This window comes from Homo sapiens, chromosome 7 (genome assembly GCF_000001405.40).
Source record: "Homo sapiens chromosome 7, GRCh38.p14 Primary Assembly".
NCBI lineage: Eukaryota > Metazoa > Chordata > Mammalia > Primates > Hominidae > Homo > Homo sapiens.
Window position 1 is genome coordinate 116,521,725 of NC_000007.14, and position 19,980 is coordinate 116,541,704.

The following is a 19,980-nucleotide window of genomic DNA, read 5'->3' on the forward strand; positions in this document are numbered from 1 at the left end:
AGCCTACTTAAGAACCTCATGTCTCAGAAGTTGCTAACGGGTTCTCTAGTGATTTATCAACTGTAAAATGTTTCATTATCCAACAATCTCCTTAGGAAAAGGTATTTTTAATGTATTTAAGCTCTAGTATCCTCATCGCTCAGATGGTTGGTTTGGTTCGCCTGAGTGGCTTTTAGATCTGTATTTCTAGTGCCCTCTAATCCATGGGATGACCTTTAATGCTGCTTCCAAAAAAGAAAAATATTAGAGGGCAAATGAATTGCCAAATACTCATTTTTTAAGTAAATGATTTGGAGAAAGTTATTAACTCGCCTCCAAGCCCAAAGTTACCTGTGTGAGAATCAAACAAAAACAATTTTGCTTATATCATCTATTCATTTCCAATTTTGTACCTATGCTAACAATGTTCTTCTTCTCCTTTTATTTCTCATAAATCGAGAGCAGTTTCCCTAAGTCAGCTATTATAACCAGACTAAGATGTGTTTCTCTTTGGTGCCAGCTTCTTGTTGAGGCAGGTTAATGAAGAGATTGTGGTTTTTCCTCTCATTAGGAATGCATTTTGGCATTGACAACGCTTCACTGATCATTATGATTCCATGTGTTGCTGTTGATTAGACTTTTCTACATGGACTTTCCCAGCGAGATTGCTTTCCCTCGGTTGAGTACTAGTTAAGCGTTCACTTAAAGGCCTCCCTGGAAAGTCCTTTTCTTGCTGGAATGCAGGACAAGCTCCCTCTGTGTTCCTGTTGACTTTTTTCACAGTTAACATTACTCATCACAGCTGAAGACTGAATAACAATAGATGGGAAGTGGTTTCCACATTTTTCCATAGAACGTAACCCCAGTTGACTTGTATGAAGGAAAAATTAAATGAATTTATGGCAGTCATTAGAGGTGGGCTAGGTACTATAGAACATATTGAACCTGACAGTCCTTTTCTAGTGTATTGTGTTTGTTAATATTTGTTAATATAATTTGTTCAAAGAATTTAGAAATGCAATCTGACAGAAATGAAATTAAGAAAACGCAACTTTTTGGCCAGTTGTAGTGGCTCACGCCTGTAATCCCAACACATTAGGAGACTAGGGCAAGAGGATTGCTTGAGGCCAGGAGTTTGAGACCAGACAGGGTAACAGAGTGAGACCCCCGTCTCTACAAACACTTTTTAAAAATATTAGCAGGGTGTGGTGGTGCACACCTATAGTTTCAGCATTCTATCAGGAAACTGAAGTGGATCACTTGGGCCCAAGAGGTCCAGGCTGCAGTGACCTATGAATGCACCACTGCATTCCAGCTTGGGTGACAGAGGACACCCTGTCAGAAAGAAAAGAAAAAAAGAAAAGGAAGGAAGGAAGGAAAGAAGGAAGGAAGGAAGGAAGGAAGGAAGGAAGGAAGGAAGGAAGGAAGGAAGGAAGGAAGGAAGGAAAGAAAGAAAGAAAGAAAGAAAGAAAGAAAGAAAGAAAGAAAGAAAGAAAAGAAAGGAAGGAAGGAAGGAAGGAAGGAAGGAAGGAAGACCCTAATTATTTGTTTACTCATAAATAAGCTTATTTTAAAGCATTCCAAATTTTTTAACTTTTATTTTAGGTTCAAGAGTACATGTGCAGGTTTGTTAAATTTTGTGTCACAGGGATTCGTTGTACAGATTATTTCATCACCCAGCTACAAAGCCTACTCCCCAATAGTTATTTTTCTGCTCCTCTCCCTCCCCGACGCTCCACCCCTCAAGTGGGCCCCAGTGCCTGTTTTTTCCCTATTTGTTTCCATGAGTTCTCATCATTTAGCTCCCACTAATGTGGTATTTGGGAAAATCCAACTTTTGAAAGATCTTTAGTCTGCTAATCATGAATGGCCAACATAATTACAGGCATGCCAACATTTGTAACATTGTGACACTTTCCCTGCCATTCTTAGTTAAAACTGATCTTTTGTTCCAAAAATTTTTGCTACCAACAATAGCCTGTCCTTTATAGTTCTTTTATACTTTTGTGTCTTCTCTCTAACTAAATAATCAACTCTTTCAGCATTCCATCCATTTCCCTTTCTCCTCCCTCTTACTCCCAACCCACATTCCCCTCTCCATTTTAATTTTAACCTGTGCCCCTTCAAGTGTACTCCAGCTTTTTTTTTAAAATAATTTCAAGTGATACTTTGACTTTTGACTGCATATGGAAGCATAAGTAACATGTCCTTTCATTTTTGGATAATGAGTTTCCTGATTAATTACAGCTCAAGAGTAAAATGACTGATTACTATTTAATTCATTTTGTGCTTCTTTACAATAAAGTAAAGACAGAAGCCCCAGATTCAGGAACAGACAAAATACTTTAATCGCTATCACATTTTTTTTAAGTCTAGTCAATTAGAAAAGTCAAATCTTTCCTCACAGCCAAGCACATTAAAAAAAAATCTTCTCTGGTAATAAACTTGAAGCTTTAAATAATTCTACAATTATAAACATTTTGTGTATTTTGCAAATATGGCATAACCTGTTGGCATAAAATTCCATTGTTCCAGAAAATATCGGTAATAAAATTATAGAAAAGTTAAAGATCTTCATTTCTTATTTCGAAGCGTTTGGGAGACATTTCAGAAACGGATGGGAAATGTTAAATTCTGCATGCCTGCTTAAGTTTCCATCCACACCGACTAGATGTAAACGAGTGTCACCAAAAGTACACCACAGGCACCCACACAGATTCCTTCCATAAGGGATCCACAAAGTTTAGATGTGAAATGTACCTAAAGGTTCCTAGCCGTCTTTCATCCCTCCCTCTGTGAAACAGGGAGACACATGTGTTTTAAGGCAGAGATGGAACTTGGGCGATGGGCGGGGGGTGGGGGAGGTGGGAAGGGACGGCTTAGGACAGGGCAGGATTGTGGATTGTTTCTGCCGCCTTGGTTGCCCATACTGGGCATCTCTGCAGGCGCGTCGGCTCCCTCCACCCCTGCTGAGATGATGCACTGCGAAAACATTCGCTCTCCCCGGGACGCCTCTCGGTGGTTCAGAGCAGGGAAAATGTTGCCTCAGGTTTAAAATAATCTGCCCAAGCACCCCAGCGCGGGAGAAACGTTCTCACTCGCTCTCTGCTCGCTGCGGGCGCTCCCCGCCCTCTGCTGCCAGAACCTTGGGGATGTGCCTAGACCCGGCGCAGCACACGTCCGGGCCAACCGCGAGCAGAACAAACCTTTGGCGGGCGGCCAGGAGGCTCCCTCCCAGCCACCGCCCCCCTCCAGCGCCTTTTTTTCCCCCCATACAATACAAGATCTTCCTTCCTCAGTTCCCTTAAAGCACAGCCCAGGGAAACCTCCTCACAGTTTTCATCCAGCCACGGGCCAGCATGTCTGGGGGCAAATACGTAGACTCGGAGGTAGGCATCCGTGGGGGGGCGCCGGCTCGGGCGTGCGGGGAGTGTCCGCTTCTGCTATCTGCCTCTCCAAATATCCCGACTGCTGCCCTGGCCCCAGCCCTCTCTCCACTTCGGAGCACTCCTCTGGCGTTGGCACCGCTGAGGAATGGGCCTGGGCGGGGAGGTGAAGAGAAGCCAGGAATGTTTTATGTTTTCCTAATGGAGAGGGGGCCTAGGGAGCCCCTGAGCTAGGAGGACACGGAAAAGGGGATTGGGGTCCTGAGATTGGGTCTGTTGGGCCCAGGACGCGTTTTCTGGATGGGTCTAGGATGCTCCCTTGTCGCGGGACCCCCGCGGTCCGGCCCTGCCTGCTGGGGGTTCGAAGAGGTGGAGTGCAGGGTGGAGGTGTTATTTACCCGAGTCCTGGGGACAGTCCCCGGGACTCTCCGCCAGGCGCCCAGACCGGCAGGTCCCGCAGGCGGCGCGCGGTGTGTTTGCACTTTCCAAAGTTCTTGAACCATCTCAAGAACTCCTTCTGCATCTTGGCGTCTGGCAGGGGTGTTCCGAGAGAGGTAGACCTCCCCTCCCCAAACTGCCACCATCACTTCCAACGCCCTCCACGCGCTGGAGCTCTGCCCGGGTGTGGAAACCTCGTCTTCCAACACGTAGCTGCCCTTCAGCCACCCGCCCGCAGCCTGGGAGTGCCCTGAGGGTGGGTCGGGGGAGCTGCGCAGGTGAGACTGAGTTCTAGGACATTTAGGGGGTCTGGTGCCTGGCTCCGCCAAAAATGGGGACTTTCGGGATTGTGATCATCACGGCGGATTGAGCAGGGAGAGCCGTGGAGGGACAAGAGAGGGCCGAGGCAGGGTGGGGGGCGCGGGCAGGTGCGAGGGGGATGCGGCCAAGAAGCAGCGATAAAGGGAACATTCCACGGGTCGGGCGGCTGCTGTTGGATCTTAGATAAAGCTGGAAGGGATTACCGGGGCAGGGGTAATAGGGACCGGGGACGGGAACGCGAAACAGGTGAAGCGCTCAGGGCGAGAGCGACTCGGCTTAGGGAGTCCGGGAGAAGCCTGCGGCTGCCCCCTCGCCGCCGAGGTCCTGCGGGTCCTGCGGGTCCTGCGTGCTGAGCCGGGGCGTGCGCGGGCGGGGGCCTTCGGACCGCGCGGCGGGGCCTGCCCTGACCCCTGGCGGCGGGCGGGGGAGGCAGGCGCGCCCTGCAGAGTACAGAGGGGTGTGGTGTCCTCTGCGAGATCCTCTTAAAAAGCTGGCTACGCGCAGGCGGTTTCTGTGCACGGAGCCGTAGCTGTCGGAGCGGTTAGTTCGATTTCGAGCTCGAGGTTTCCCCCGCCGCCAGGCTGACTTCTCATCGCTTGTTTTTCTTTTTGCATTTTTCCTCCCACCGCCGTTGCCGCCCTCCCCGTCCTGGCCGTCCGCCCTCCGCCCTCTGCAGGGACATCTCTACACCGTTCCCATCCGGGAACAGGGCAACATCTACAAGCCCAACAACAAGGCCATGGCAGACGAGCTGAGCGAGAAGCAAGTGTACGACGCGCACACCAAGGAGATCGACCTGGTCAACCGCGACCCTAAACACCTCAACGATGACGTGGTCAAGGTAAGCCAAGGCGACCAACAGGGAAGGGCTGGGACAGCTCTCCTCTGGCAGTTAGCCCGTGCATCCTTCTTTAGCATTGCCGTGTACGCACACCCCACCCCGCCCCCTACACGCGCACACACACACACACACAGAGTTTTGTGGGTTTGATGTGTGGGAGCTCCCGCAGTCGGCAGAAACGTTACATCTCCCTTCCCCCATCTCCCCCCAATAGTTAGTTCAGCTGAAATTCAGCTAAAGTGAGTTTTGTAGAAGTTCCTATAACTACACTTTTATCCTAGCAAATGAGCCTATTGACCTCAGCAACAGACGGCCCATACTCCTTGGGACGGTGAGATGGTTCCTATCCATTCCCAGGTTGAAAGTCTAGTGACAGGTCCCCACTGCACGTGGCATTAAGACAGTCAGATAATTGTGTCAGGTCTTGTGCTGAGGATGAGTCAGAATACAAGATGGGCATGTTCCCCCAACTAAAACGATGGGAAGTGATTTTCTTAAAAATACTACAGTGGATGGAAATGCCTAGGACTAAAGACAAAGAAAATACGTACTTATTCATATACATATGAAAGTTACTTTAACTAGACTAACAAGTCACTTGTGCACAACTAAGCAAATTTACAAAACCAAAAACAATGTATGCCTCTTGGTTTCTTCTATCTATGGACACCTGCACTTAGATGTGGAAAGCTGCTTCTTTAGTAGCTACCTGGGTCAGCCTGCCCTGAGCTAATGGCACATTCAGGTTGGAGTTCCTTTTCATACTTTCAGGATGTGCTTGGTGAGATTAAAAATAATTGGACTGGGTTATTGGCCAGACTTAGATCTGACTCAGTGGTCAGTTTTAAATTATCATTGTTATTAGATTTTGACCCTTTTAGCCAATCTAGTGGGAGGAATTTATTGCCTAAACACATCTGGATTGGGATATCATGGGCTAGAGCCATCCTTGGCAAAGGGTTTTCTCTGAGAAATGGAGGGCTAAGGAAAAATCCTGGCTCAGGGACTGCAGTGTGAAGATCTACTCCTATACAACCCCCAGCAATCAATGAGGCGGATGAGCAATTTCCACCCACCACGCCTGCTATCTATGGATGGGAGGAGCTATAGTTCACAAACCGTTTACATTCATGAATAATATATTTCAAAAGGGGAAACAGTTTAATCTGTAACTGGAAGGGAAAAAAAAACTGTCAGAATTGACTCCCTTGGCTTCCTGGAGTAGGAAAAAGGAAAATTGGAGCATTTGCAGCTTTTTTTGACTAGCTGGATTATGGAATATTTAAAAGCAACAGCAACAAAAGTACCTTATAAACTAGAAAATAGAATTGCTAAAAAACTATTTACTAAAAACATTACCTTAAAGGGAGAGGATATTTGTGTTTTCCCCCACCCCCACCCTTCTCATGTGGCTTTGAACAAGAAGGAGAGTTGCCAGGAAAAGAGGCAGATTTCAGAGAGGGCTGGCTTCACTGGATCCTCCCTGTTGTTCCACTGCACTGTGAGTGAGATTCCCTGGAGCAAGCGAATCTCCCGGGATGAGTCAGAGAGGCCAACAGTGTGGATGTGGGTCTCCACACATAGCATGACTAAGTTGAGAAAGAAAGGCCCCACTGGGAAAAGAGACTTCAACACAGATGGAAAAAAAACATAACAGGCTTGGAGGAAATAGCAGTTTACAAAACAGCATTTCAAAGAGCAAGTGTGGGGATCCTCAAATTAAAGAAATTAAAAGAAAAAGCTAGAGCAAGCTCCTGCTAGCCTAAAGAAACCAAACCCTGACTACTTGCTCATAGAACTGTGAGCAAAACAAGACAGTCAAACCAAAAAATCCACCTAGAAAAGAATTTGGCAGTCTCACTCAGATGCCTGGCCTAGAGGGGACTTCAGAGAATGCCCTACAGAGAGACACCAAGACTACAAATGCAAATTCTGCCCAAAGAGTGCCTGGCCGATGAACAGGGTCCTATCTACATCTTATGGAGACTCCTATTTTATAAATATGTATCCTCAAGTCCAAGCACAAACAAAATAACAGAAACAGGGATGATTCTCTCCCAGTTTCCATGACAGTAAATAATAAATTTCCCTAAATTTTACTTTCAACAACATAGACTTTTTTTATTTTTATTTTTATTTATTTATTTATTTATTTTTTGAGACGGAGTCTCACTCTGTCACCCAGGCTGGAGTGCAGTGGCATGATCTGGGATCACTGCAACCTCCACCTCCCAGGTTCAAGCAATTCTTCTGTCTCAGCCTCCTGAGTAGCTGGGACTACAAGTGCACGCCACCATGCCGGGTTAATATTTGTATTTTTAGTGGAGACGGGGTTTCACCATGTTGGCCAGGCTGGTCTTGAACTCCTGACCTCAAGTGATCCACTGGTCTTGGCCTCCCAAAGTGTTGGGATTACAGATGTGAGCCACTACACCTGGCCAACAACACAGACTTCTTAAAAAAATCATGACAATAATTTTGGGTGCTTCTTAAAAGCACCCAAAGCTTTACTGCTAATGCATGGTAGCTTAAAACTTCACATAATAAGAAAGAACCAGTGGCCAATGGAATCTACTGTTAAAGGTACCCAATCAAGTAAGGAAAAGTTGGTCCTAAAAGCAAGCAGCCCTGTAAAAGCTGCTCTGTCCAATATGGTAATCACTAGCCATTTGTGTTTCCATTTAAATTTCAAGTAATTAATATCAAGTAAAATTTAAAATTCAGTTCCTTAGTCACACTAGCCACGTTGTGAGTGTGCAACAGGTAAAGCTAGTGGCACAGACATAGAACATTTCCATCAGCACAGAAATCTCTATTGGACAGTGCCAGATTAGGGTGTTCTCTGCATTGTAAAAGCATCCCCTTGCCAAGTTAAAGAAAACAACAACAAAACTCTAGAGAAGAAATGAAACCCCAGTTTCATTTCTGGAGAGGAAAGAAAACTCATGTGTGGCATGAGTTTATATTCAAGAAGGTGCAGCATTATTACCTATTTTACTAGTAATAATGACACACATTATAGTATACAATCCAGTTCCAATAAAATTAATTTCTCATCTTACTAAAAGCTTGCTGCTCCACATTATGAGACAATTTACCCAAATATAGACATTTACCCAAAAATATTAAGTAGCTTGTGAATACTTTTTAAAATTTCCTTTAATTAAAGTGGTCACAAACTCAAACCCTTCATTCTCCCTCTGAGATTTCTGTGTCATCTTTTGTTCACATTGTTATTCACATGTTTATTATGTACTTATTTTGATTTTCTAGATAAATAAAATGGCTTCAAATCTATAATTCTGATAAAATTAGCCATCAATTAATTTATTTATTAAACCCATGCAATATGCTAGATTAGATGCTTTGCTATGTAATTCCTACAATAAATCCTAGCAATCACAAAGATTACAGTTAGTGAGACGACATGCACACAGGTAAAAAGTGTTTTTAAAAAATACATACATACAACCAAAACAGTAAGTCACTGCTACATGGAAACTGATTGGTCCTTTTTCCTTTTTTTTTTTTTGCCTTGACTGCCAGGAAGCAGTTTCAAATCTATAGCTGGATTTTAAGTTTCATTAATTCATGTTCCCACATATGGTTCTGTATTTTCACTTCCCCCTTTTAACTGACATACTGTCTTATGTGATCTCTACTGTAAGCCTTCTCATCATTTTGGAAACAGACCAAATATAATATATATGATAAGGAATCAAAAGTAAATACAGTAGTGTTGAATATTGCATAACAAAAAGGTTTTTAAATAGGGAATGGTATCAATATGAAGTGTTAGGGAGACCCAGCCATGAAAAGGATAGCAGGGTCAGAGAAGGAGGATGTATTGCAGCTGGTTTAATGGAGAATGGTATGAAGGAGGTGCAGTTTGAATTGGGTCATGGAGGACAGATGGATTGCAAATAGCTGGGGCAAAAGCACAGGAAGGCATTCTAAACGAGCCAGGCATGGAGACAAGAATGTCTCCCACAAGGGAGTTGTAGTAGCTCAATCAGACTGGGATTTGAGATTTCATGTGGCAGAGTGGTAGGTGATAAAGGTGAAAAGACTGATCATAGTAAAATGCGGAGTCTGTAAATCCAGCACTCATGATAAGTTTGGACATCATGTCAACAGTGGACAGCCATAAATGACTGCAAGCATCGGTGTGGTATAATGAAGGTGACGTTTTTGTAAAATGACTCTGGTGAAGGTACAGAAGGTAATGAAAAGTAGCCAGTCTAGTTGAGCAGAAAAGAGTTCAGATGTAATTGCATCATGGTCCAGATGTGAAATGAAGACAATGCGAAGTGGCATTGTGGATCGAAACATACATGCACAAAATGACAGAATTTTAGAATTTGAAGGGATCATCATGGTTACCAGGCTGGCCTCCAATTCCTCTTTTGTAATATTAATAGAAATTAAGGGCTAACAAGTTTAAAATGTTATCCATCTTTTTACATAGTTACTGCCCAAAGTGAATATTTTGAAATGTATCATTAAAGAAGAATAGATAAGATTATGTGATTCACCATGGACTATTGTCATGAGAGGAAAAATGTGTTTAGATGATTCTGTTAGCACTGAGACAAATCAGGATATCTGAAAGGAGGTCTTTGTTGAAAAACAGAAATATGCATTCATAACTTGCTTTTCTAAAATTGGAATGTAATGATTCTTAAATATGCACAGACACAAATTTTTCTTTAACAGTCAAGAAAATGCACGCAGGTGATAATCAGATCAGTTTTGGTTATAGTACAAAGGTTTAATGCCTCCGTGATCCCTTTCAACTTGAAAGCATTCTAGAGCAATTGGTGATTAATATCAGTATAACAGTCATTTATAAAATTATTATTTATTTGATATACATCTAATCAAAGCATAAGATTTATTTTTATTATTATTATTATACTTTAAGTTTTAGGGTACATGTGCACAATGTGCAGGTTAGTTACATATGTATACATGTGCCATGCTGGTGCGCTGCACCCACTAACTCGTTGTCTAGCATTAGGTTTAAAAGATCAGATTGTCTCGGCACCATGTTAATATCTTTTTCTGTTGGCATTAGTATTAGTTTTGCTTGTGTATTTGTTTAGGAGATAGCTTCACAAGTTGGTGATTGATATTCTACCATGTATGAAGTCATGCGTGGAATTCAGAATCCCCAGCTTGTAAAATTGCATTATGATCATCTTTAGTGGGAAATTGTTCTCAGAATACTGAGCAAAGGATGATACCAAAATGGCAGCTATTATTCATTCTTAAGCATATGAAATGCTTTCAGGTTCAACCCAAAATTACATACATTTTAAATGCTTACTAAAAGAGTCTTTTCCCTCCTCCATCTATTAACTGCAATCAAAAAACTTCGGTTTTAACTGAACATGATTTCATATTATTTATTAAAATTTAAGGCAAGGTGCACCAAGTACCCTTGAATTATGAAAAGCTTCATGATGTGGGATATTCTTTCAGTTAACGGCAGGGTTGGCTACACTTTTAAGGGGTTCAAAGTAGGAACAGCTGCAATAGTGAGCTGCATCTGGAAAGTCCAGTAATTTGAAAAACCACCTGTTTATGTATCCTGCCCACTCAAGTCCATAAAATAACAGACACTTTCATATTCCAAATGAAACTGCTTTTTAGTTTGCCCTACTTTTAAACATAACTCTTTGTGATGGAATGACCAGAAACAGCTGGTCTCTAAGAGGACAGGGCTATGTGCGCTCACCTGCGGGGTTGGACCTTCCATAATCCCCCTGGCTGTGGGGAAAGTTGAGGGCTGCTGTCTTTATACAAAGATGGTTTATTCCAAGATACACACACTCTTCTTCCACACCCTGGAGACCTTGCATATTTAGTATCTTCTTTACCATAATCTGAGGCCCTAGAGAAAAAGATTTGCAAACTATACTTGTTTTAAAACAACTTTCTAAAAAAGACACTCTCAGCCCCTAGAAATTATGCCTAACACATAGATGCTCAGAGGCAACCTGTTGTAGTGCAAGAGGATTGTGCCAAGATTAGAAAACAAATATTTGCAACTTTTGTAACTGTCTTCTCTAAAACTTGAATGTGGTGATTCTAAAGTAAAGACCGACACAAAATTCTTTTTCTTTAGCAGTCAGGAAAAGGCATGCATGAAGTAATCAGATCAGGTGTGGTTTCAGCATAATGGCCTAATGCTTTCATGATCTCTTTCAACTGGAAAGCGTTCTAGTCCCACTGGACACCAAGGAGGAAGAAGGGACGGAAAATATTAGGCCCATAGGTTTATCTTCCTCAGTAGTCCACGAGATTTGAGCTTATATGTAGGGAGCAAAATTGTTTGTCTAAAAGCAGTTAATAAATGCCCCAAAAAGGCTGGGCGCAGTGACTCACTCCTGTAATCCCAGCACTTTGGGAGCTCAAGATTGGTGGATCATGAGGTTAGGAGAGCAAGATCATCCTGGCCAACACGGTGAAACCCCATCTCTATGAAAAATACAAAAATTAGCTGGGTGTGGTAGCGCGTGTTTAATCCCAGCTACTGGGGAAGCTGAGGCAGGAGAATGGCTTGAACCCAGGAGGCCAAGATTGCAGTGAGCCAAGATTGCGCCACTGCACTCCAGCCTGGTGACACAGCGAGACTCCGTCTCAAAAAATAAAATAAATAAAATAAAATAAAATAAAATAAAATAAAATAAAATAAAATAAAATAAAATAAAATAAAAATAAAATGAACGCCCCAAAAATATTTTGGGCAAACTATTTTGTGTTTCTTTTCTTTATTTATTTATTTCTTTTGAGACAAAATCTTGCTCTGTTGCCCCGGCTGGAGTGCAATGGCACAATCTTGGCTCACTGTATCCTCAACCTCCTGGGCTCAAGCAACTCCTGAGTAACTGGGACCACAGGGATGTGCCACAATTCCCGGCTAATTGTTTTAGCCAGGATATAAATGCTGCCTACATAGAGTTTGTAGCTATCTCCTTGACTTTCTTTATGCAGATTCCTTCACAAACTTTTGATGGATTCCTTTACCAAATTCTACTGTCTGTTAAAATCTTCTATCTTTATATCTTTAGTCCAAACAACACGTCATTTATAAACCTTAAAATTGTTTCTGGGCAAATAAACAAGGCAAAATAGGAATATATATTTTTAGGCAATTTACTTCTGTTTTGGTCTCATAAAAAATTGTAATTAAATTGTAGAAAATATTTCAATTCCTCTTTAATATCCTCTCCTCACATACTGGCTCTCAACTTCTAATCCTCCTATTGAAACATTGATTGGGAGGCCAAGGCAGGCGGATCAACTGAGGTCAGGAGTTTGAGACCAGCCTGGCCAACATGGTGAAACCCTGTCTCTACTAAAAATACAAAAGATTAGCTGGGCATGGTGGCATGCACCTGTAGTCCCAGCTACTTTGGTGGCTGAGGCACGAGAATCGCTTTAACCCGGGAGGCAGAAGTTACAGTGTGCCAAGATCAAGCCACTGAACTCCAGCCTGGGCGACAGAGTGAGACTCCATCACAAAAAAATAAAAATAAAAATTGAAATTTGCAGCCTTTTTAAAACCCCATAGCCTCTTTATAAACCCAAAAGCACTATCAAATTTGGCGAGGTGTCAAAAGAATCAGAGGAATGTTTACAAATACAGATGCCTGGGCCCACCTCAGATATATATATATATATATATATATATATATATATTTTTTTTTTTTTTTTTTTTTTGAGACGATGTCTTGCTCTGTCACCCAGGCTGGAGTGCAGTGGCATGATCTCAGCTCACTGCAAGCTCCGTCTCCCGGGTTCACGCCATTCTCCTGCCTCAGCCTCCCAAGTAGCTGGGACTACAGGCGCCCGCCACCACGGCTGGCTAATTTTTTCTATTTTTTAGTAGAGACAGGGTGTCACCGTGTTAGCCAGGATGGTCTCAATCTCCTGACCTTGTGATCCGCTCGCCTCGGCCTCTCAAAGTGCTGGGATTACAGGCGTGAGCCACTGCACCCGGCCCAGATATATTAAATTAGAATATCTAGAGGTGGAGCCTGAGTATCTGTATTTTTCAGAGTTTCAAATGATCGTTCTTCAAATGATTACACTGTGAAGTCAGATTTAGAAATGACTGTACCCAAGGTTGGCTAAAAGATACACACCCTGGTTGATTCTACCTGAAGAGAGCAAATAAGATACACAGCAAAGTTGTAGATGTTTTCCCTGCCAGTAGAATACTTGCGGGTTAGGCCATTTAAAACCCTGCCAGAGAGTTTTGAAACACTGTGGAGGGCTCCCAAATCAACTTGCTCAATGGTTCTCCATCCCTTCAGGCTACTTGGGCTTAAAGCCAACTGCAAGCTTAGAGCCTCAGAGTGACCTAGGAATGGGGTGACCATATATTCTAGGTTGTCTCATACAGACTAGCCAGCACTACTCAGCCGCAAGTAATAGCATCCAGGCATGCTCAGAAGTGTCCCATTTGGAGGAAAAAAACAATATTGTCACAAATGAATTGGCAATGGCCTGTCTCTGATTCTTATACCTGGAATATACTGGAAGTCCCTACTCATGCTATTTTCTAGCAGAATAGGCAAAATTTCTACATTCCAGGCATGTCAGGCCTTTCCCTGATTCCTTTCTCTAATGTCACTCGTCTGCTGTCTTTTATCACAGCCATTAAACTGCACCCTAACTTAAAGAGGATCCCTTATGTTCCAATCTACTCATCCCTCAGATCTTTCTTTCTCTGAAACACAGGGTTAATGAGACTGACATCCTTCCATCACATATTTTCTCAGCTACTCAGTAAAAGATGTAAATGTTTAAAATAGTTTAAACTATTTTTCAGTTAGTCCAGGAAACATAAAATGGCATGCTTGCACATAAACCATTGTTTAGGGTGGGGGAAGTGTTTTTAATTTTGCCTTAAAGGAAATCTGCATGATCCACAGGCTATGCAACTACCAAGGGAATTAGTTGGTAGAACAGAATTACACCTGCACAGAATACAAATTTCCTGCCTTTCATGGGAACTATGTTGATGTTTCAGATATGAAATACATCTTGTTTTCTTTATTGAACCTCGAGAAGATGTCTCTTGTTGGTCATTATTTCATGGCAGGGGAAGTACATATTCCTAAAGACACAACCGAGTTTCCCTTTAACCATCATTAGTTGGGCTGGCCATTAAGAACCAGACGCTTTTATTTTCAAAGAGACTTAAGTTTTGATGTTGTACATATGTGCCTAATATTCTATCTCATAGCAATTTAAAGGTGACGTTTTAAAAAGCTGCATTCAGTGTATAAACTTCTCCTGATCCCAGCAAGGATGTTGTGATGATTTTATTTAAAAAGGTAAGTTGTGTCTAGATATGGCAGTGGGTCATCTCATGCATGGTGCAGATGTCAAACACAATTACATTTTCTTATTTGCAATGACTAAAAAAAGAAGCTGAGCCCAAGCAGTGAGAAAGTAGGAGATTGGGAGGACAAGAAGCAAAGGAAAAAAGTAACATGAGCACCGTTCTCCCTGTCCTGCCACTTGCTCCATTATGGACTGGGCTGCGATATCTCATATCCCAGCTCCACAACTCCCAACAACCATTTATGTGCATGGTGCTTCCATGTGTGATGACCCAATCAGGCTCAGGTGTGGACTGAGTAGTTAAATTATAACCCTTGTCTCTGAAGAGTTTAGGGCTTAGTGGGGAAACAGACATGTAAACAAACCTGAGTGAGGTCATGTAATCAAAGGACAGGCCACAGTCAACCACAAAGAAGAGAGTTCTCAGCAGTCTCCAAAGCCGAACATATGTTTACCAGGAACAGGGTCCCAGCAGAGGGAGCAACAGGAGCAACCAGAGCCTTGAGGGGTCGTGGCCTGTTCTGGGCACCAGCAGTGGATCAATGTGGCCAGAGCCAGGGATACTAGCAGAAGCCAGAGCAGCAGGGCCTTCCTTGTCCAGCAAAGGCATTTGTCTCTTTGTAGGCCACAGCGACCCACAGAGGGCTTTTTAGGCCAGAAAAAAGCCATTAAGGCCGGGCGCGGTGGCTCACGCCTGTAATCCCAGCACTTTGGGAGGCCGAGGCGGGTGGATCACGAGGTCAGGAGATCGAGACCATCCTGGCTAACAAGGTGAAACCCCGTCTCTACTAAAAATACAAAAAATTAGCCGGGCGCGGTGGCGGGCGCCTGTAGTCCCAGCTACTCGGGAGGCTGAGGCAGGAGAATGGCGTGAACCCAGGAAGCGGAGCTTGCAGTGAGCCGAGATTGCGCCATTGCAGTCCGCAGTCCGGCCTGGGCAACAGAGCGAGACTCCGTCTCAAAAAAAAAAAAAAAAAAAAAAAGCCATTAAAAAGGGAGTCATGTCTCTTGTTGGTCATTATTTCATGGCAGGGGAACTACATATTCTTAAAGACACAACCATTTCCTCTTAATCCTCATTAGCTGTGCTGGCAATTAAAAAACCAAAAGTTTTTACTTTCAAGAAGATTTAAATAACTTCTGAGGGTGTACATATGTGCTTAATATTCTGTCTCACAGTAATTTAAAAGTGAAGTTTTGAAAAGCTGCATCCTGCGCTTGTCAGAACCATGTCTGATGAGATATCCCCTTTAAAGGGCTCTCGGTGCAATGGGGCAAATCAAGGGGGTTTGTGCAAGTGGGAGTGAGACAGGAGATGGGGTGCTTCTTCCAGCACTCCCTATAGGCTGACTGAGTGACAAAGATCATTTTACTGACACCTCCAATGGCCCTATGAGATGGGTACTATTATTATTATCACCATCATATTCCTTTTGCAGATAAGGAAACTCAGGCTTAGCAGATTGCCAGAACAACACAGGCAGGAAGTGGTAGAGTCAGGGTTTGAACCCAGGTAGTGAAACTCCAAAGCCCGGATTCTTAACCACTGTCCTCCAGTGCCTCTCTGTAATAAGTCATGATCCCAGAAGCCATTGGTGTGGCCACAATATGGAAAGAGATGACAGTGTCCTCACACTGGGTGAGCAGCTTATGGTGATTCCAGACATGATCTCTGTTGGGAGTGACAGGTCTGAGCTTCTAGGATCAGACCCTAGATCTTGGCAAGTGGTTTGAGGAAAGAGAAGGACCAATGTAAAACCCCAGGCTTCAAGGAATGTGGATGCTGGGCAGGGAGGATTAAGCCCCAAAGACCAGAAATGGGGTACACAGGGCAGGTGTGGCCAGAGTAGAACTAGAGTAGAACTTCCAGTGACTAGAAATAGAACCAGACACGTTGCAGTGGTGGATAAGGTAGAATCGCTTAAGTCTTTAAAGTGCCCCTGATCACCCAAGTTGGCCAGAGACCCTGGGGTGGGGCTGATTCTGTCTGGATATACGGGGAGGGGTAAGCATGAGGAAAGGAAGCAGGTCCTGACAGGTACTTTGCACTAAACAGCTCCTTATAAGGTTCTCAATTTGCCTGCTCAATTTCTACAGACATTTGTGGGACCACACCAGTACATTGTAAAAGCAGGAAACAATTGAGAAAAACCTGAGTTTTATGTTGGTAGGAGAAATGCCTATGGAATATGGCAAATCGTTTCTCTGAGACTTCCTCCCTAGTAATTACATATTTGTTCTCAAAAACAAATGCCAGAAGGAAGAAGCAGATTTAATAGTGCATTTTACAAGGCACCATTAATCTCTAAGAAGAACAATTAAAATGTCTCAGCAATCATGGTTCACTGTATATCTTTTCTATCTTCTTAGAAGTAATATATGGCTGGAAATGGGCATACCAAAATATGTCAAGGAAGTGGAATTGCGTTCATTAGATTTCACCACTAATTATTTTAGTTAGCTTCACAGATCTCTCTTCCTTGCTTGTTCTTGAGAGCGAGGCTTTTTAGTAGGAAGAGAAATTGTCTAAAACGATTAATAACCACAAATTCACCAAACTATTTTGGGTAAGTCCCTCTATTTCTCTAGGTCTAAAGCTAGGAATAAGAGTCATTCTCATATAATGTACTGTCCCAGAAAGGGCATTATATTAGTCTGTTTTCACGCTGCTGATAAAGACATATCCGGGATTGGGTGATGTATTTAAAAAAAGAGGTTTAATGGACTCACAGTTCCACATGCCTGGGGAGGCTTCACAATCATGGAGGAAGGTGAAAGGCACATCTTACATGGTGGCAGACAAGACAGAATTGAGAGCCAATCAAAAGGGGAAACCCCTTATAAAAGCATCAGATTTCGTGGGACTTATCACTACCACAAGAACAGTATGGGGGAACCGCCACCATGATTCAATTATCTCCCACAAAATGGGAAAATTATGGGAACTACAATTCAAGATGAGATTTGGGTGGGGACACAGCCAAACCATATCAGGCATTCAACCAATATTTGGGAAGCACCAGCCCTGCACCAGGCACGGAGCACGTCATGAGTCCTGCCGTACCACAGCCTGCCTGACAGACCTCAGTCATCCTCTGGAGCTTGCCTCTGACATCTGGACCTCCTCAGAATCAGCATCTCTTCTCCTTGCCCCCGCCATCCTTTGTTTTTATCTCTGCTGTGGCATTCATCAAAGCCTTCCAACTATCCTGCGTCACTGTCCTTCAGTGTCCTCTCTCCTCTCCCTTCCTTCTCACCCCACTTTGTGCCTGTATCCTTCAAGCAGAGCAATGGCACCCTCACTTCTGTGGCTGCCCAGTGCCCCATGCAGAGTCAGACATCAGAAAATAGATGCTGAATTCAGTTGACACTCTGAAATTCTTTTTAAAGTAAGTTAATGTGTGCTTTGAATGAAAAGACACTGGGATTACATTATTGAGTGTCTTTCTTCCTTTGCCACTTTTGTCCCTATTGGCCATATTTGAAAATCTTGTTGGAAAAAAAAATTCAAGAACTTAATAAATAAATTCAAAAACATTTAGTCTATTTACTTAGGTGAAGAGAAAACTCATTCTAATATGTGTGTATATTTAAAATATTTGTTATTTAGACTTTTTTTTTAAGTCTCCAGGTTGAGGAGGACACAAATATATCCTCCTAAACCTTCCAGTAAGCAAGCTGTGGCATCCAGATGATCTCCTGGGTCATGGGGGATAAGGCTAATCTCCTAGGTGTCTGGCAGACAGGACAGGCAAATTCCCAGAATGCCAAAATATACCATCTGCTGCTGTTTGGCATTGCCCTTAAGTCCAGAGTGTGGAGGCTGGGGGTGGGTCTCTGGCTACAGGAGAAGTCCCCTGGCAAGGGAGGGGTGAAAGGAGTGCCTGTTGAACCCCCCATCTATCCCCGCACTATGGCAAGATTGAGAGGAATGACTAGATCAGGGAATGGCCCGAAAGAAAAATCCAAAACCTCCCAACCCTGGACAAGGCCACAGCTTTGAGAAACCGAAGCCTCTGCTTCCTTCTCTTTGGCTTTACTGCTTCTAGATGCAAATACACAGAGCTCTGAGATTTTGTGTGCTGGGAGGTGATAACTGTTAACCCTCTATTCCAATAGCACAGAAATTTCTCTTTGCCTCAGAAGTGGTTTCTCATAGATCTCAGATCTCTTTTCAGGAAAAAGAAAAACAACAACAATAACAACACATTAATGACTCTGAAAGAGTCAGACACCATTAATTCCATTATTGGTGTCTGTGCCAAGTGAAATGAACGTCAGCTCTTTTCCCAGATATGTTTCCTTCTTTTGCCTCCTATAATAAGAGATGATTTTACTGTAATAATATAAGACTCATCAATTTGACTCCAAATAGCTTTCCTATCAACAGGCTAAGTGTAAAATACCAGGATCATTATTCAGTTGAGAATAGATAGAACTAGGAAGTAGCCATCAAAAAAGAATGATGAGGTGCATTGTGGATTTGGGGTGTAACTTGGTATCTAACATACAGCCAGAATCACAGTCATAGCACACTTAATATTTTATCAGAAACTTGCGTGAACAAGTTAAGAGGACTCTCAACTTAAAAATGACACCAATTGCAATGATCTTGTTAACATTTGTGATGAAAATAATAGCAAAGTGACTTAGACAAATTACAATAGCCCATAAAAATAAGATAAAGTTTAACACAAAGTAAGATGATGTTAAAAGACTTGAAATAAAACAGATATGTTAAGTAGGCAACACATAGGTAAGCATATAAAAACAAGAAGATACCAGGATAGAGCTGTCATTTTTGTGGGAGCCTGTGATGTGGAAAACCAAGATGCCTGGTGAGTATAATGGATATGGAAACCCCCCTTGTAATAATTCCACAGTTCCAAGGGGCCAAGGTCTCCAGGTTGAGTCACTATTGTAAACACACCCATAGATGAATCCACATGCCATACCTCCTTGAGTAAGTGGGGACTCAAACTAGGTCTGTCAATTGTTCCAGAAAATTAAGCATCTAAATAATTTAATGATAATTTAAAAGAAGCACAATGAAATATTTCAAGGAATGTCACATACAAGATTCTGTACCTCTTCTGCTTTGGTTAGACTCATTCAGAATAGGTTCCTGCTTTGATCTTAAGAGGGAGGTAGAGATTCTGGAGAAGCCCTAGGGAAGAGCAAAAGGAAAGGAATAAGGAGCCAAGAGGAAACCCAGGGTAAGGCTGAGGAGGGACTGTTTCGTGTAGGTGATTTATTGGAAGGGTTGGAAGGAAACATGGAATGACAATTACCTTTGGTTATTGTCAGGTTAGTATGAGACTTACAAGAAAAGCACTGCTCAGACGCAATTACCATTCAAGATAAGAAATAATAGGAAAGGCTAGCACACTTAGCTTTTTATTTAAAAAAGTGTTAGGTAGGCTGAGCACGGTGGCTCACTCCTGTAATCCCAGCACTTTGGGAGGCCAAGGTGGATAGATGACTTGAGCCCAGAAGCTTGAGACCAGCCTGGACAACATGGTGAAACCTCATGTCTACAAAAAAATACAAAAATTAGCCAGGCATGATGGCATGCACCTGTAGTCTCAGCTACTTGGGGGGCCAAGAGGTGGGAAGATTGCTTGAGCCCAGGAAGTCGAGGCTGCAGTGAGCCAT

General features: G+C 43.0%; 1 protein-coding gene across 4 annotated transcripts in view, besides 7 other annotated features; it reads left to right on the plus strand.

Annotated features, from left to right (window-relative positions):
* Positions 1,025-1,665: an enhancer, noted in NCBI's record as "OCT4-H3K27ac hESC enhancer chr7:116162803-116163443 (GRCh37/hg19 assembly coordinates)". NCBI's record gives its function as "activates a minimal SCP1, AML or CMV promoter by ChIP-STARR-seq in naive H9 embryonic stem cells {active_cell/tissue: H9 hESC(naive)}" and the evidence as "EXISTENCE:reporter gene assay evidence [ECO:0000049][PMID:30033119]".
* Positions 1,025-1,885: a biological region, named in NCBI's record as "Sharpr-MPRA regulatory region 9016".
* Positions 1,591-1,885: a silencer, noted in NCBI's record as "tiled region #9016; HepG2 Repressive non-DNase unmatched - State 21:Repr". NCBI's record gives its function as "represses a minimal TATA promoter and a strong SV40 promoter by Sharpr-MPRA in HepG2 cells {active_cell/tissue: HepG2}" and the evidence as "EXISTENCE:reporter gene assay evidence [ECO:0000049][PMID:27701403]".
* CAV1 (caveolin 1) overlaps positions 3,285-19,980 on the plus strand; it is a 36,177-nt gene continuing 19,481 nt past the window's right edge. The window contains exons 1-2 of one of the 4 annotated variants that reach the window (NM_001172895.1): positions 3,285-4,081; positions 4,801-4,965. In NM_001172895.1, coding sequence (NP_001166366.1) covers positions 4,864-4,965 — 102 coding nt within the window. In that variant the 5' untranslated portion in view covers positions 3,285-4,081; positions 4,801-4,863. Of the gene's footprint in view, positions 4,082-4,637; positions 4,966-19,980 lie in introns of those variants that run through there. The other 3 variants (NM_001753.5, NM_001172897.2, NM_001172896.2) reach the window with 3 other exon arrangements.
* Positions 4,294-4,683: a silencer, noted in NCBI's record as "silent region_18557". NCBI's record gives its function as "represses an Ori minimal core promoter by ATAC-STARR-seq in GM12878 lymphoblastoid cells {active_cell/tissue: GM12878}" and the evidence as "EXISTENCE:reporter gene assay evidence [ECO:0000049][PMID:35858748]".
* Positions 4,914-5,013: a silencer, noted in NCBI's record as "silent region_18558". NCBI's record gives its function as "represses an Ori minimal core promoter by ATAC-STARR-seq in GM12878 lymphoblastoid cells {active_cell/tissue: GM12878}" and the evidence as "EXISTENCE:reporter gene assay evidence [ECO:0000049][PMID:35858748]".
* Positions 19,051-19,345: a silencer, noted in NCBI's record as "tiled region #15503; K562 Repressive non-DNase unmatched - State 22:ReprW". NCBI's record gives its function as "represses a minimal TATA promoter and a strong SV40 promoter by Sharpr-MPRA in K562 cells {active_cell/tissue: K562}" and the evidence as "EXISTENCE:reporter gene assay evidence [ECO:0000049][PMID:27701403]".
* Positions 19,051-19,345: an enhancer, noted in NCBI's record as "tiled region #15503; HepG2 Activating non-DNase unmatched - State 24:Quies". NCBI's record gives its function as "activates a minimal TATA promoter and a strong SV40 promoter by Sharpr-MPRA in HepG2 cells {active_cell/tissue: HepG2}" and the evidence as "EXISTENCE:reporter gene assay evidence [ECO:0000049][PMID:27701403]".